The sequence below is a fragment of the Homo sapiens genome, chromosome 7, assembly GCF_000001405.40.
Source record: "Homo sapiens chromosome 7, GRCh38.p14 Primary Assembly".
NCBI classification, from domain to species: Eukaryota; Metazoa; Chordata; class Mammalia; order Primates; family Hominidae; genus Homo; species Homo sapiens.
Window position 1 is genome coordinate 129,073,807 of NC_000007.14, and position 17,885 is coordinate 129,091,691.

The following is a 17,885-nucleotide window of genomic DNA, read 5'->3' on the forward strand; positions in this document are numbered from 1 at the left end:
CCATTTAATTATCCTCCAAGGACATGTCTGCTCAGAGGATCATCCTAGTTCTCTGGCCAACAATAAACAGGAACTGAGACAGAGTGATGGACGATATGACTCTTAGTGTTTCTGTCATGGCACATTGGCCTTTATGGGTCATTGCCCATGTGTTCCAGGATTTAGGATGAATTTTAATATGTCACTCTGCGTGGGCTACGGATTGGGTTTTATTAGGGAAAGTGAAATCTTACAAGGCTGGGTCAACAAGCAAAGGGGAAGCAGGAGTCTCCCATTCTATTCTCCGTCCCATAGAGAAGTATGTGAAGGTCAGGGTCTCAGCTGGATCTGCAGGATAGGTCCATGTTCTGCTGTATTAGTTAGGGAATAAATGTAAGAAACCAGTCTGTGAGTAGGGAACACATGAGTGGTTTGGGTGCTGGGCAGCTTGGATGTAGGGTGCCAGGGGTTCAGAGGAGATGGGAGGAATTCCTGCTTCCCAGTATTTGGAGACCTTGGGCCTGTGGGAAGGTGCAGTCACCCTGTGTGAGGAGGGAGTCTGCCCATGCTGTGGAGGCTGAGCTCCTTCCACCAGGAATAGGCTTACTTGCAGTTCCAGCTGGCTGGCCCAGGTAACCTTGAATGAGCTTCCAGAGCAGCTTCCAGGCAATTCTGCTCATTTCACCACAGTTTCTGAATTCAAAAATAAATAAAAAACACATTTGTCCTATTTGGTGTTCTTTGTTTTCTATGACTCTGCTGCTTTCCTCTTGAAGAATCACTAATTTGCCTACTATAACTGCCTATGTGTGGTCTCCTTTTCAAAAGGCAGCTCTAGGATTGCTTGAGCCTGGGAGGTCCAGGCTGCAGTGAGCTGTGATTGCGCCACTGCACTCCAGCCTGGATAACAGAGCAAGACCCTGTGTCAATAAATAAATAGTTAAGTAAAAAGCAGTTCTTATGAGGGATATGAACAGGCTCCTAAAGAAACACAAAAGACTAATAGATACATGAAAAGATGTTAAGCCTCACCAGTAGTCAATGAAAATGCAAGTAAAGAGCAAAATGGCAGCACTTTTCAATTATATTGGAAACAGTTTGCATATTGAAAAAGATTTGTCTATGTTATCAAGGTTGTGCGGGAAAGGGTGTCATCTTGGAGTGCTGAGGGGAATTCTAGCAATCTATGCCAAAATTTTGAATATCTGTAACCTCTGACCCTCAAAACTACATTCCTAGGAATTTATTCCAACTAGGTAATCTGACAAGTGAGCAATGATAGATGTACAAGATTATTTGACAATGTATTGCCCACATAAGTGAAAAATGGAAACACTATGTACACCTATGGACAGGTAGTTAAATTCTGAAACATCCACAGAGTGAAATACTATGCAGTCATGACAAAGAATGATGCATACTACCATATGCCACCAATTCTAAAATGATTATTTTATGCTTTTTCACAGTTGTTACATTCCATGGCATATCGCAGTTTATTTGGCAGCATTTTTTTCTTTCTTAATGGCACCTAAACTTATAGGGCATTTAACAGGTGATAGCATATTATGTTTCATGAAATATTGTATATTTGCTGACATACGGCTGAGTGGAAAATGGCCTCTCTAACCATATGTAATGTGGTTCCAGTTACATGCAAATTTTAAGATATGTTTATATTGGCAGGGTGTGGTGGCTCACACCTGTAATTCCAGCACTTTGGGAATCTGAGGTGGGTGGATCGCGAGGTCAGGAGTTCGAGACCAGCCTGGCCAATATGGTGAAACCCCATCTCTATTAAAAAATACAAAAATTAGCCAGGCGTGGTGGCATGTGCCTAGAGTCCCAGCTACTCGGGAGGCTGAGGCAGGAGAATCGCTTGAACCCGGGAGGCAGAGGTTGCAGTGAGCTGAGATCATGCGACTGCACTGCAGCCTGGGTGACAGAGTGAGACTCTGTCTCAAAAAAAAAAAAAAAAGATATTTTTATATTTATACATGCATGCACATACCAGAAGTTAGCAGAGACCCCACCCCCACTCCTTCACTGCCTCATTTCTTGGGATTCCCGGCAGAGTTTACACAGATTCCCTGCTAAGGCCACAGGCTGTCGAAATCCAAAACTATCCTTGTAGATTTCTGCCAGCCCCAGTGCTCCTTTTCCCATGGTCTCCCCTCCTGCCATCAGAGCTGCTTGCAAGGAATCCCACGTAGAACTCCCTATCATGTAGATGGAGCAACTCAGAGCATTCATGAGGTATTTCTGGAAATGCTTGGTGACCATTTGGAGGTGGCAGGGAATGGTCACATGGGCAGGTCACAGCTTTTCTGTTCCTATTAGCTTCCTCTTTCCTTCTTTCACCCCTTTCTGGAAGGAGTAAAAGAATCTCTTCTCTTCATCTTGTGTGTAGAATTCAGGATGGAAGCCTGGCTTAAGGGATATTTCCTCCTTTTTGGCACAGTCTCCGAAAATGTCAACGTTTCAAAGTGTTTGAAGGCAATACATTGACACAATGGTTGTTGAGACTATGAGAAAGAATATTTGAGAAAGCAGTGTGTCTTAGTCCATTTGGGCTACGATACCATAGACTGGGTGGCTGATACACAACAGAAATTGATTTCTTACAGTTCTAGAAGCTGGGAAGTCCAAGATCAAGACACAGGCAGATGCAGTGTCTGGTGAGGGCCCATTTCTTGGTTCATAGATTGCAGCGTCTTGCTGTGTCTTCACATGGTGGAAGTGGCCGTGAGGTTCTCTGGGGCCTCTTTTATAAAGTTACTAATTTTATTGATTAAGTCTCTGCCCTCATGACCTCATCTCTTAAAACTCCCACTTGCTCATGTCATCATATTGGAGATGAGGTTTCAATGTATCACTTTTGGGGGCACACAAACATTCAAACCATAGCACAGTGTGAAAGTAACACAGTGAGAAAGCTAGAGAAGTTTTCAAAAACTGGTGTGTTTTTAGGTGCCTGCCAGCTACCACCCCCAAACAGTGCAGGGAGGCTGTTTCCTTTCTTGGGTGTTCTACTGACCACTAATTTTTACCTCTAACCCAAACGTTTATTAAAATATTTTCTTCCAGTTTTCATCAAACTTGAACTGTTGCTCTGTAAAAGACAATTTTAAAAGAATTAAATAATAAACTACAGATGAGGCATAATATTGCAAATCACATACATGGCAAAGAATTTGCATCTGGAATATATAAAGAACTCCCAAAATTCAGTCATAAGAAATGGACAAACAACCCAATTTAAAAATGGGCAAAAAACTTGAACAGACAATTCACCAAAGAAAATATATAGAAGACAAATAAGTACATGAGAAGATGTTCAACATCATTAGCCATTAGGGAAATACAAATTAAGATATCACTACACACTTAATAGAATAATAAAAATAAAAAATAACAGGCCAGGAATGGCAACTCACGTCTGTAATCCCAGCACTTTTGGAGGCTGAGGTGGGCAGATCACTTGAGGCCACGAGTTCAAGACCAACCTGGCCAACATGGTGAAACTCCATCTCTACTAAAAATACAAAAATTAGCTGGGCCTGGTGGTGCACACCTGTAATCCCAGCTACTCAGGTGGCTGACGCACAAGAATTGCTTGAGGCTGGGCGCGGTGGCTCACACCTGTAATCCCAGCACTTTGGGAGGCCAAGGCAGGCAGATCACAAGGTCAGGAGATGGAGACCATCCTGGCTAACGCTGTGAAACCCCGACTCTACTAAAAATACAAAAAGCTTAGCTGGGTGTGGTGGCGGGTGCCTGTAGTCCCAGCTACTCAGGAGGCTGAGGCAGGAGAATGGCGTGACCCCGGAAGGCGGAGCTTGCAGTGAGCCGAGATGGAGCCACTGTACTCTAGCCTAGGCGACAGAGCGAGACTCCTCGCTCGAACGCTTGAACCTGGGAAGTGGAGGTTGCAGTGAGCCAAGATTGAGCCACTGCACTCCAGCCAGGGCAACAGGGCAAGACTCTGTCTCAAAAGAAAAAAAAAAGATATTAGGAATAAATAGTGCTGACGAGAATGTGAAACAACTTCAACTCATACATTTCCGGTAGGAATGGAAAATGGTACAGCCTCTTGGAAAACAGTTTGGCATCTTATAAAGTTAACCATATACCTACCACATGACCCAGCAACCCCACGCTTACGTATTTACAGAAATGAAGACATAGGTGCACACAAAATTCTGCATGTGAATGTTTATAGCAGCGCTATTCATAATTGCCCCCAACTAGAAATTATCCAGATGTTCTTCAGTGGCTGAAACTATAAAGAAACTTTTTATTTTTTTTTTGAGATGGAATCTCACTCTGTCGCCCAGGTTGGAGTGCAGTGGCGCTATCTCTGCTCACTGCAAGCTGTGCCTCCCTGGTTCAAGCGATTCTCCTGCCTCAGGCTCCCGATGAGCTGGGATTACAGGCACCCGCCACCACGCCCGGCTAATTTTTATATTTTTAGTAGAGATGGGGTTTCACCATGTGGGTCAGGCTGGTCTCAAACTCCTGACCTTATAATCTGCCCACCTCGGCCTCTCAAAGTGCTGGGATTGCAGGTGTGAGCCACCGCACCCGGCCAAGAAACTTTTTGCACTGGTACATTCATACAATGAGATACCAGTCAACAATGGAAAGAAACAAATTATGACACTGGTAACAACTGGGATGATCCTCAGAGGCATTACACTGAGTGTGAGAAGCCAGTCTCAAGACTTACATATTGACTAGGTGCAGTGGCTGACACCTGTAATCCCAGCACTTTGGGAGATCAAGGCAGGAGGATCACTTGAGACCAGGAGTTTGAACCAGCCTGGGCAACATAGTGGGATCCCATCCCTACAAAATATGCAAAAATTAGCCATACGTGGTGGCACATACCTGTAGTCCCAACCACTCTAGAGGCTAAGGTGAGAGGATCACTTGAGATCAGGAAGTCAAAGCTGCAGTGAGCTATGTTTGTGCCAATGCACCTCCAGCTTGGGCAACAGAGCAAGATCCTGTCTCAAAAAAAAAAAAAAGTTACACATTGTATGATTTTATTATATGACATTCTCGAAAAGACAAAACTATAGTGTTGAAGGACATATTAATGATTTCTAGGGATATGGAATTGAGGGGAGGATATAATTACAGAAAGATAGCATAAAGCCAAGCACGGTGGCTCATGCCTATAATCCTAGCACTTTTGGAGGCCAAGATGGGAGGATTGATTGAGCCCAGGAGTTCGAGACAAGCCTGGGCAACATGAGACCCTGTCTCTGCAAAAACCTTAAAAAATTAGCTGTGTGTGGTGGTGTGCACCTGTAGTCCTAGCTACTTGGAAGACTGAAGCGGGAGGATCACTTGAGCCCAGGGAGGTCAAGGCTGTAGTGAACCATGATTATGCCACTCCAGCCTGGGTGACAGAATGAGACCTTGTCTCAAAAGAAGATAGCCTAAGAGAGTTTAGAGGGGTGATGAAGCCATTCTGTATGCTGATTGTGGAGGTGGTTAAAAGAATCTGCATGTGTTAAAACTTGTAGTACTTTTAAAAAAGGGTCAATATTGCTGTATGTTAATTTCTTTGTTAATTTTTTAAATTTTAATTTTTTTATTTTACTTTTTGGACACAGGGTCTTGCTTTGTCACCTAAGCTGGAGTCCAGGGGCATGTGATCACAGCTCACTGGCAGCCTTGACCTCCTGGGCTCGAGCAATCCTCTCACCTCAATTCCCTGAGTAGCTGGGACTATGGGCATGCACCACCATGCCCAGCTAATTTTTGTATTTTTAGTAGATACAGGGTTTCACCATGTTGGCCAGGCTGGTCTCAAACTCCTGACCTCAAGCGATCTGCCTGCCTCAGCCTCTCAAGTGCTGGGATGACAGGCATGAGCCATCACCCCCAGCCTTCTTTGTTAATTTTTTAATAGAAATAGGATCTTGCTATGTTGCCCAGGGTGGTCTCAAACTCCTGGCCTCAAGTAATCCTCCCAAATCCTTGGCCTCCCAAAGCGCTGGAATTACAAGTGTGAGTCACCTCGCCTGTTCTGTGTGTTAATTTATAAGGCAAAAATTTTAAAACTTCATCCAAAGGAATACAGAGCTAAGCAAAGAATTCTCAAAAAAGAAACACAAGATGGTGGTCACAAGTTTCCTCTGGGGAAGGATGCTGTAAATCAAGGAAAGTAGAAAGACATACTTTTACAGGATTATACACTTTTTACTATTTGAATCATTTATCATGCATGCATGTTACCTTTCCCTCCTGCAAAAAAAAAAAAAATTATATTGAAACACAAGAGGAACACAAGCCTTCCCCTCTTACATTCTGATGATTACAATTTTCCCCCTCTAATTACATTTGTACACTTCTATAAATGAGGCCAGCTAGGGAGAGCACCAAAATGTGCAGTGATCGGCCGGGCGCAGTGGCTCATGCCTGTAATCCCAGTACTTTGGGAGGCTGAGGCAGGCGGATCACCTGAGGTCAGGAGTTTGAGACCAGTCCGGCCAACATCATGAAACCCTGTCTCTACTAAAAATACAAAGATTAGCTAGGCGTGGTGGTGCAAGCCTGTAGTCCCAGATACTAGGGAGGCTGAGGCTGGAGAATTGCTTAAACCTGGGAAGCAGAGGTTGCAGCGAGCCGAGATGGTGCCTTTGCACTCCAGCCTGGATGACAAGAGCAAAACTCTGTCTCAAACAAACAAACAAAATGTGCAGTGATTACCTCTGAGCAATGGATTTGAAGGAGTTTTGTTTTGTTTGAAACAGGGTCTCACTCTGTCACCCAGGTTGGAGTGGAGCGGCACGATCACAGATCACTGCAGCCTCCACCTCCCTAGCTCAGGTGATACACCCACCTCAGCATCCCAAGTAGCTGGAACTACAGGCAAGCACCACCTGTAGCCAAGGCCAATTTTTGTATTTTTTGTAGAAGCAGGGTCTCAGTATGTTAATTTATAAGACAAATATTATGTTGCCCAGGCTGGTCTGGAACTCCTGGTCTCAAGCAATTCTCCTGCCTCGGCCTCCCAAAGTGCTGGGATTACAGGTGTGAGTCATTGTGCCCGGCCTTAAGGAGATTTTTACTTTCTTCTTATACTTTTCTATTTTTCTCTACCAGCATATATGATATTTATGTTTTTAAAAGCTATTTTCATTGTGGAAAAAAAAGAGAACATATTAGGGGGAAAACCACAAGCTCACAGAGGACAAAAACCATGTTTTAGTGCCTCTGGGTACTGTAAACTATCTGACATGGTACAGGTGCTGAGTATTCTACCAACTAAGACATTTTGCTTGAAAGTTATAGACAAGGTCCATCCTGGCTAACACGGTGAAACCTCGTCTCTACTAAAAAATACAAAAAAATTAGCCGGGCATGGTGGCGGGTGCCTGTAGTCCCAGCTACTTGGGATGCTGAGGCAGGAGAATGGCGTGAACCCGGGAGGCGGAGCTTGCGGTGAGCAGAGATCGCGCCACTGCACTCCAGCCTGGGCGACAGAGCGAGAATCCGTCTCAAAAAAAAAAAAAAAAAAAAAAAGTTGTAAACAAGGTGTAATTATAATGGATATTGATCGTATTTCTTTATATTAAACTCTGAATACCACAGGTGTTCACAGAATAATAATCTACTTTAGAAAGGAGTTTTACCATTTGCATTAAAAGCTTTAAGGCGAGCAAGACAGCTATGAGTTTGCTCCACTTTACAAATGAATGAGGAAACTGAGGTTTAAAGGTAGTTACTGGCAATAACAGAATTTAGACCAGTTTCTTGATACCAAACCTAATATATATTCCAAGACACTCCCACTGTCTCTTCCCAGTTCTCAAAGAACTATAATAAAATGAAAATAGCTAACTCTGACACTGTTTTCAACATATTCTTCGAACCAGCAGAGAGCTGATTGATGTCATCTAAGGGAAGTGGTTTGGAGCTGGAAAAGTCTCCTTCAGGGCAATCACCTTTTTTTTTTTTTTTTTTTTTTTTGAGATGGAGTCTGCTCTGTCGCCAGGCTGGAGTGCAGTGGCGTGATCTTGGCTCACTGCAATCTCCGCCTCCCAGGTTCAAGCGATTCCCCTGCCTCAGCCTCCCGAGTAGCTGGTACTACAGGTGCGTACCACCATACCCAGCTAATTTTTTATATTTTTAGTAGAGATGGGGTTCCACCATGTTGGCCAGGATGGTCTAGATTTCCTGACCTCGTGATCCACCCACCTCGGCCTCCCAAAGTGCTGGGATTACAGGCGTGAGCCACTGCGCCTGGCCAGGCAATCACACTTTTCAGGATCAGAACTTCCACCCTGAAGGACCACAGGTTCACCCCTGGCAATACACAGCGAGGACCAGACTCTGAGAACAGACTCACATTGGAAAAGGGACATAGGAGGCTGAGGGAGACGCCGGGCTGCCAATTCACTCATTGACCATGATAATTGGGACTGTTACAGGGTCAGCTACTTCTCCCCTACAAGTCTCTCTCTGCAGCATATTCTCTCTGGTCGGTAGGTCGCCATGAAAATGAGAAAGTTGACTGCCAAGTGGCCATGGAAAACACATGGAAATTAGACGAAGCCCCAGGGTTCAGTGGTAACAGGTGAGGCTAAGATAGCCTAGGCCAGTCATCCTATAATAGAGGTGGTCTCACCAACAGGTTACTTACTGCAGAGTACTCACATCCCATTGGTTACAACCTCCTGCCTCCACATCTCCATTATAAGTTGTTTTGTCATTTAAAGGCTGTGATTTCCTTTGTGCCCAATACATGGATGGGCAATGCCTATGTCCACCTCCCAGAAGTGTCCTCTTCCAAGAATCCATGCTAAACAATGCCCCTTCTAACAAACAGATTTTTTTCAATCTTTTAATTTAAACAATCAAATCCTAGGAGCCAGGCTTTTTTGTCACATGCTAATTATATATTGATCTTATTATTAACTTTCTATGATTAGGACGGGCACGGTGGCTCACGCCTGTAATCCTAGCACTTTGGAAGGCCAAGACAGACCGATCACTTGAGGTCAGGAGTTCGAGACCAGCCTGAACAACATGGTGAAACCCTGTCTCTACTAAAAATACAAAAATTAGCCTGGCATGGTGGTGCACGCCTGTAGTCCCAGCTACTCGGGAGGCTGAGGCACAAGAAACACTTGAACCTGGCAGGTGGAGGTTTCAGTGAGCCAAGATCGAGCCACTGCACTCCAGGCTAGGTGACACAGCGAGACTCCATCTAAAAAAAAAAAAAAAAAAATGATTGCTAATTGCCCTCTGATGTAATAATTCCCCTTCCTCTTCTTTTTTTTTTTTTTTTTTTTTGAGACGGAGTCTCACTCTGTTGCCCAGGCTGGAGTGCAGTGGCGCAATCTCAGCTCACTGCAACCTCCACCTCCAGGGTTCAAGCGATTCTCCTGTCTCAGCCTCCCAAGTAGCTGGGACTACAGGCCTGCACCACCACACCCAGCTAACCTTTTTTGTATTTTAATAGAGACGGGGTTTCATCATGTTGGCCAGGATGGTCTCATGACCTCGTGATCCACCCACCTTGGCCTCCCAAAGTGCTGGGATTATAGGCATGAGCTACCTCGTCCAGCCGGTGTTTTAGGTTTTTTCTGTTATTATCAAACTGAATTCTAACTAATATTCATGATAATTTTATTCCTCTTACTTTTAAGTTCTTGTGGTCCCAAAGTACAATAGTAAATTTAAGATTCTAGGCTGGATGTGGTGGCTCACACCTGTAATCTTAGCACTTTGGGAGGCCAAGGTGGGAGGGTCACTTGAGCCCAGGAGTTTGAGACCAGCCTGGGCAACATAGCAAGACTTCATTTCTATTAAAAAAAAGAAAAAAGAAAGATTCTGGAATGCTTCAGACTCCGTGTTATACAAGCTTTCTGACAGTGTGATGAATCAGGGAGGAGTGAGTTAACAAATTTCTGACCAGACAACTGACCGGAAAAAACAGCTTGTGGAGTGCTCAGTATATCATTTCATTCCTCAGGTTCACGTAACAAATGTTCAGAAGCTCAGAGCATATTTCATTCCCATGCGATTAATCTTACCCCCTGCACTACTTTTGTATCTCCCCTTAGTAACAGGTTCACCCTACCTTCAATGTCTACAGGAGCTACGGAAAGAAATGCAGAACGAAGATAAATCACCCACCAGAATTGTTAGCAAGAGAAGTGCTGGCAGCAATAGGTCCTCTTACAAAGAAGAAACTTAGAATGAAGCTTTTCCCAAACAGCCTGAAAGGTTCTTTTATCCTCCATAAGTAGCTGCTCACCCAATTTTTGACAAATCCTCATTTTTGCTTCAAAAATAAATAGCAAACACTTACCTATATTTACCATATGCCAGGAACTGATCTAATCATCTTACATATATTATTATTATTGAACAGCAATTTAAATTAGGTTTTTTTTTAAAGGTGGTTATTTTTATTTTTTGCAATGCCATGGTTGTAGGAGTGTATGAAGAGGTAACACATCTCCTTTTCCTTGACTATGCTTTTTTTTTTTTTAACCTTCTGCACAAAGGTAAAGGTTTTTGTTAATCTCATAGTTAATGGTATAAAACAGAGGTCATGCCGGGCGCGGTGGCTCACGCCTGTAACCCCAGCACTTTGGGAAGCCTAGGTGGGTGGATCATGAGGTCAGGAGTTCAAGACCAGCCTGGCCAAGATGGTGAAAGCCCGTCTGTACTAAAAACTACAAAAAAAATTAGCTGGGTGCGGTGGCAGGTGCCTGTAATCCCAGCTACTCGGGAGGCTGAGGCAGGAGAATTGCTTGAACCTGGGCAGCAGAGGTTGCGGTGAGCCGAGATCACGCCATTGCACTCCAGCCTGGGCAACGAGAGTGAAACTCCGTCTCAAAATAAATAAATAAATAAATAAATAAATAAATTTTAAGGGATATGGTTTGGAGGGAGCTTTCAGGGTAAAAGTATAGTGACATGACAAAGGGGAGGTGACAGAATATTGTAGAGTCCTTTGTATTCTTTCAAAATAGCTTTACTGAGATATAATTGACATACAGTAAACTACATGTTTATAGTGTAATTGGATAAGATTTGACATACATATACACCCGTGAAACCATGACCACAGTCAAGATAATGAAAATAGGCCAGGCACGGTGGTTCACAGGAATCACTTGAACCCGGCAGGTGGAGGTTGCGGTGAGCTGAGATCATGCCACCGCACTCCAGCCTGGGCGATAGAGTGAGAGGCTGTCAAAAAAAAAAAAAAGATAATAAAAATAAATATCAGCCCCCAAAAGTTTCCTTGTGTCCTCCTGTGATCCCTTCTTCCTGGAAACTTCCCCCAAACTCTCTCCTCAACCCCCCATTGTCCCTTATCTGCTTTCTGTAATTATGGATTGGTTTATATTTTCTAGAATTTTATAGGAATACAATCGTACAATATTTATTCTTTTATTTCCAGTTAACATAGCTTTTATTCAAAAGTCCTTACTCTTGTCTGGTTTATTTCACTTGGTCTAATTATTTTAAGATCTATCCACATTACTGCATGTACTTTAAGTGGGTGAGTCGTACGCTATTTGAATTATCTCTCAATAAAGCTGTTACTAAAAACAAACCACAATGAGATATCACTGCGCACCCATTCGGATGACAAAAATTTAAAAAACAGACAAAAGCAACTGTTAGTGAGGGTAGGGAGAAATTGGAACTCTCATACCCTGCTAGTGAGTGGACTTGTATAATGATGCAGCCACTTTGGAAAACAGTCTGGCAGTTTCTCAAACATTTAAACATAGAGGTATCTTTTGACCCCAAAATTTCACTCCTAAGTGTATATACCCAAGAGAAATGAGAAAATGTGTCTACACAAAAGCCAGTATATGAATGTTCATAGCAGCATTATTCCTTATTTATTATTATACATTTTTTTGAGGTGGAGTCTTGCTCTGTCGCCAGGCTGGAGTTCAGTGGCGTGATCTTGGCTCACTGCAGCCTCCGCCTCCTGGGTTCAAGTGATTCCCCTGCCTTAGCCTCCCAAGTAGCTGGGATTATAGGCATGCGCCACCACGCCTGGCTAATTTTTTGTATTTTTAGTATAGATGGGGTTTCACCATGTTGGCCAGGATGGTCTCCATCTCCTGACCTCGTGATCCGCCCACCTCGGCCTCCCAAAGTGCTGGGATTACAGGCGTAAGCCACTGCGCCCAGCCTATTATTATTATTTTTTGAGACGGAGTCTCGCTCTGTCACCCAGGCTGGAATGCAGTGGCGCGATCTCGGCTCACTGCAACCTCTGCCTCCTGGGTTCAAGTGATTCTCCTGCCTCAGCCTCCAGAGTAGCTAGGATTACAGGTGCCCACCACCACACCCAGCTAATTTTTGTATTTTGTTTAGTAGAGACAGGGTTTTACCATGTTGGCCAGGCTGGTCTCAAACTTCTGACCTCAAATGATCTGCCTGCCTTGGCCTCCCAGAGTGCTGGGATTACAGATGTGAGGCACGGCAGCTGGCCAATGGCAGCATTATTTATAATAGTCAACATGTGAAAAGAACTCCAATGTCCACCAACTGAGGAATGGATAAACAAAATGTGGTCTATCCATACAGTGAAATATTATTCAGCCATAAAAGGGAATGAAGCACTGATACGCGCCACAACACAGATTAACCTTGAAAACATTCAGCTAAGTGAAAGAAGCCAAACACACACATACCAACCCCACATATTGTATGATTCCATTTTTATTTATTTTTATTTTTATTTTTTATTTTTTCAGACAGGGTGTCACTGTCACCCAGGTTGGAGTGCAGTGGCACAATCTCAGCTCACTGCAACCTCCACCTCCCGGGTTCAAGCAATTTTTCTGCCTCAGCCTCCCAAGGAGTTGGGATCACAGGCATGCGCCACCACACCCAGCTAATTTTTGTATTTTTAGTGGAGATGGGGTTTCGCCATGTTGGCCAGGCTGGGCTTGAACTCCTGGCCTCAAGTGATCCGCCCACTTTGGCCTCCCAAAGTGCTGGGATTATAGGTGTGAGCCACCATGCCCAGCCTGATTCCATTTTTATGTGAAATGTCCAGAATTGGCAAATAGAGACAGAAAGTAGATTAGTGGTTGCCCAGGTCAGAGTGAGGGTGGCTGGGGGCAATGAAGGTGACTGCTAAAGGGTACAGAATTTCTTTGTGGGGTAATACAAATATTCTCAAATTGATTGTGATGGTGTTTGCACAACCCGTACATATACTAAAAACTACAAAATTACATATTTAAAATGGCTAATTTTTACCTATGTGAATTATATCTCAATAAAGCTGTTACTGAAAAAATGTTCACTTACTGAGGTCATTCCATTATATGAATATACTTCAGTTTGTCTAGCCATTCATTTATTGAGTCATTGGATTGGCTCCTATTTTTGGCTACTAAAAATAAAGCTGCAGACCAGTGAAGTACTCACACCTGTAATCCCAGCACTTTGGGAGGCCAAGATGGGAAGATGGCTTGAGGCCAGAAATTCGAGACCAGCCTGGGCAATATAGCAAGACCCCATCTCTACAAAAAATTTAAAAATTAGCCCAGCATGGTGGCTTGCACCTGTAATCCCAGCTACACAGGAGGCTGAGGTGGGAAGATCACTTAAGCCCAGGATTTTGAGGCTGCAGTGAGCTACGATCATGCCACTGTACTCCAACCTGAGCAACAGAGCGAGACACTATCTCTAAAAAAAATAAAATTCGGCCGGGCGCGGTGGCTCACGCCTGTAATCCCAGCACTTTGGGAGGCCGAGGCGGGCGGATCACAAGGTCAGGAGATCGAGACCATCCCGGCTAAAACGGTGAAACCCCGTCTCTACTAAAAATACAAAAAATTAGCCGGGCGTAGTGGCGGGCGCCTGTAGTCCCAGCTACTTGGGAGGCTGAGGCAGGAGAATGGCGTGAACCCGGGAGGCGGAGCTTGCAGTGAGCCGAGATCCCGCCACTGCACTCCAGCCTGGGCGACAGAGCGAGACTCCGTCTCAAAAAATAAAAATAAAAATAAAAAATAATAATAAAAATAAAAAATAAAATTCAGGCCAGGTGCGGTGGCTCACGCCTATAATCCCAGCACTTTGGGAGGCCGGGGCAGGCAGATCACAAGGTCAGGAGATCAAGACCATCCTGGCTAACACGGTGAAACCCCATCTCTACTAAAAAATACAAAAAATTAGCCGGGCATGGTGGCCGGCACCTGTAGTCCCAGCTACTTGGGAGGCTGAGGCAGGAGAATGGCGTGAACCCAGGAGGTGGAGCTTGCAGTGAGCCAAAATAATGCCACTGCACTCCAGCCTAGGCGACAGAGTGAGACTCCGTCTCAAAAAATTAAATTAAATTAAATTAAATTAAATTAAATTAAATTAAAAAATAAAGCTTCAAGCCAGGTGTGCTGGCACCTGCCTGTAATCCCAGTTACCTGAGAGGCTGAGACAGGAGGATCACTAGAGCCCTGGAGTTCGAGTCCAGCCTGGGCAACATAGCAAGACCCTATCTCTTAAAAAAAGAGCTGCTATGATTTTTATTTGTCAATTATGCCTCAATAAAGTTGAGGAAGAAAACAATAAAGCTACTATGAACATTTGTGTGCAAGTCTTTGTATGAATATGTGCTTTTTTTGGGTGAATACACAGAGGTGGAAAGGCTAGATCATATGGTAAGTATGTTTAACTTTTTAAGAAACTGATCAGCTGTTTTCCAAAGTGGTTTTATCATTTTACATTCCCACCAACAGTGTATGAGAGTTCTAGTTCCTCTGCACTCTTATTAACACATGGTTTTAATCAGACATCTAATAGGTATGCAGTAGTTTCTGATTGTGATTTTAATTTATATTTCCTTAATGTGAATAATGTTGAACATCTTTTCATGTGCTTATTTGCCATCCATTTTTTTGGTGAAATAACTGTTTAGATCTGTTGCCTACTTTTTGAAAAAAAGTTGAATTCTTTGCTCTTATTTGATTTCCAAAGTTCTTTATATATTCTGGATACACATCCTTTATCAGATATGGGCTTTGCAAATATTTTCTCCCAGTCAGTGGCTGGTCTTTTCATTCTTCTCATGGCATCTTTTCAGGAAAAGAAGTTTTTAATTTTGATGAAGTCCAATTTATCAAATTTATTTCCTATTGACTGTGCTTTTAGTGTAATATCTAAGACATATTATCTAATTAAAGGTCACAAAGATTTTACTTCTATGTTTTCTAGAAGTTTTATAGTTTTAGATTTTACACTTAGGTGCATAATCGATTTTGACTTAATTTTTATACGTGGTATAAGGTATGAATTGAAGTTCTTTTTTTCTTTTTTTGCATATAGCTATCCAACTGTTCTAGCCCAACTCACTGAAACTATTCATTAGAAATTATCCTTTCTCATTGCCTTTGGGTCTTTTTAAAAATCAATTGTATATGTGTGTGTATGTGTGTCTGAACTTTCTATTCTGTTCCATTTGATCTGTTCTATTTGAGCTGTCTATCATGATGTTAATAGCACCTCATCTTGATGACTATTATTTTTTATGAAGCCTTGAAATCAGGTGGTGTTAGCCCTCCAACTTTGTTATTCTCTTTCAAAGATGTTTTGGCTAATCTAGATCCTTTGCATTTTCATGGGAATTTTTAGACAGTTTGTCAGTTTCTATAATTTTTTTTTCCCTGTAAAGCTGAGACAGAAACCCAGGGCTCTGAGGTCAGTCTGCCTAGGTTCAAGTTTTATCTTTACCTCTTCATAACTGTCTGACTTTGGCCAAGTTACCTAACTTCTCTGCAATTCCATTTCTCATTCACAAAGCTGAAATAATAATATTATCAATCTCATGGGGTTGTGAAAGGGCTTAGATGAAGTAATGCAGATAAGGCTGAGAGAATGAAAATACAAACAGACAATGGCCAGATCATATATGACAATAGAACTCTGGGCCACAACCTCTGCAGCAACCCATCCAGGAAGCCAAACCACAGCCTCTGCAGCAATCATCCCAGAACAGTCAGAACTTGACCAAGTCAGTAAGTGCAGCTGCCCTAACTTCTGCCCCCACTTCCAACTCAGGACCAAGCACAGAAAGCCAAATATGGTCCCCAATCCAATCACACTGGATGCTCAATTTCTAGTCAGCCTACCTCTAGCTTTCCCATGCCAACAAGCTCCAATCAAGGCATAGCTGAAGACTTCCCTTTTTTTCACTATAAAGCTTTGCACAGCCCTGCCTGCCTGAGTCTCTGACAAATGCGAGTGATGGTGGCTGAGACCCTGGCTAAAGCAAGCGCTGAATAAACAGCTTCTGTTTCTTCTCACTTGGGTGGTTTTTGTTTATTTCCACAGTGCTTAACACTGTGCTCGCAGAGTTAGTGATTGCCCAATACATTTTATATAGAGCAGTAGAATTGCTTTGTCGTATGAAACTTTAAAAAGAATTCCAATAGATAAATAAAAGTGGCATTTCAACCGTTTATTTTATCTAAGTCAGCCAGTAATAAAGGTAGGACTTTTGCAGTGATCTCAATAACATTAAATGAACATGATGGCTGATCCTTGCAACCACAAGGTTTTTTAAAATCCTGATTCACATAATAAGAAGTTGCAAATGCCAAATTTCTGTTTTCTTTTAAACAGGTCACTTTGCAATTAAATATTTGCAGAACCTCTGAAGCACCTCTTCAAAACTCTAGGGCTCTCAGAAACGTGGAGTAAAAACTTACCCTGATGTGAGGTCAGGGTACAGGGTCTTGATTTCAGTCCTAGTGATGCTGCCACTCTGCCGGATAACCTTGGGCATGACACTTGACCTCTGAGATTTGTTCCTCCCTTGTAAATGGAAAGAGCTGAACTAAAGAACTTCTCAAAATTTAGTGCGCATGGATAACCACATGTATATACTGGAGGAGGGTGCGTGCCCATTTAAAATGTAGGTTTCTGACCCACCCAGTGGCGTCTGAGTCAGGGTCCTGGAATCTGCATTTTAACAAGCACAGCTGATTCTGGTGCTAGTGACAATTGGGCACAATTTGAGCAGCACAGGAGCAAATGGTCTTTTAGGTCCCTTCTGGCTCTGATGTGTGTGATTCAGGTGAGGTTGTTGAAGAGAAGTGGGCTGCAGCATTGGGAAAGGAAAAGTGAAGGAGAAAACCATTCAACAGTGGGGAAAATTTTGTTTTTTTAAAAAGCCTATTGTGTCAATATTCTACTTTATTTCTTTTTTCTTTTCTTTTCTTTTCTTTTCTTTTTTTTGAGAAGGAGTCTCGCTCTGTCGCCCAGGCTGGAGTGCAGTGGTGGGATCTTTGCTCACTGCAACCTCCACCTCCCAGGTTCAAGCGATTCTCCTGCCTCAGCCTCCCGAGTAACTGGGATTACGGGCACCCACCACCACGCCTGGCCAATTTTTGTATTTTTAGTAGAGACAGGGTTTCCCCATGTTGGCCAGGCTGGTCTTGAACTCCTGACCTCAAGTAATCGGCCTGCCTCGACCTCCCAAAGTGCTGAGATTACGGATGTGAGCCACCGTGCCCGGCCAGCATTCCACTTTTGAAAGCCCCCGTGACCCTGGTCCAGAAGGACTTTGATTCCTGGCCCTGGTCTTCAAGCTCTTTGCAGAGGCAATGCACATTTTATTCTCCATGAGACCACAGGAAGAAAAAAAAACACCCTCAAATTTCCCAACCCCATGCCCTAAATTTCAATGCGCCAGAGATGAAATGCAACTTGCGAAATGCCTCCCTGCTCTTCTGCTCCACAGTTTCTCCATAGCTTGGCTTGGGGCAGGAGGGGACAGAGGAGGGTTTGGCCAGTCGGGGGTCTAGCCCTCAAAGCCAGATTAAACCCAGGCCACAGCGACTCCTCTCAATTCTGCAATTGGGTCCCAGCTCAGTGTGGCCATATCGCCCTCTTGCGGTAGA

General features: G+C 43.4%; 1 annotated feature.

Annotated features, from left to right (window-relative positions):
• Positions 16,052-16,201: an enhancer, noted in NCBI's record as "active region_26618". NCBI's record gives its function as "activates an Ori minimal core promoter by ATAC-STARR-seq in GM12878 lymphoblastoid cells {active_cell/tissue: GM12878}" and the evidence as "EXISTENCE:reporter gene assay evidence [ECO:0000049][PMID:35858748]".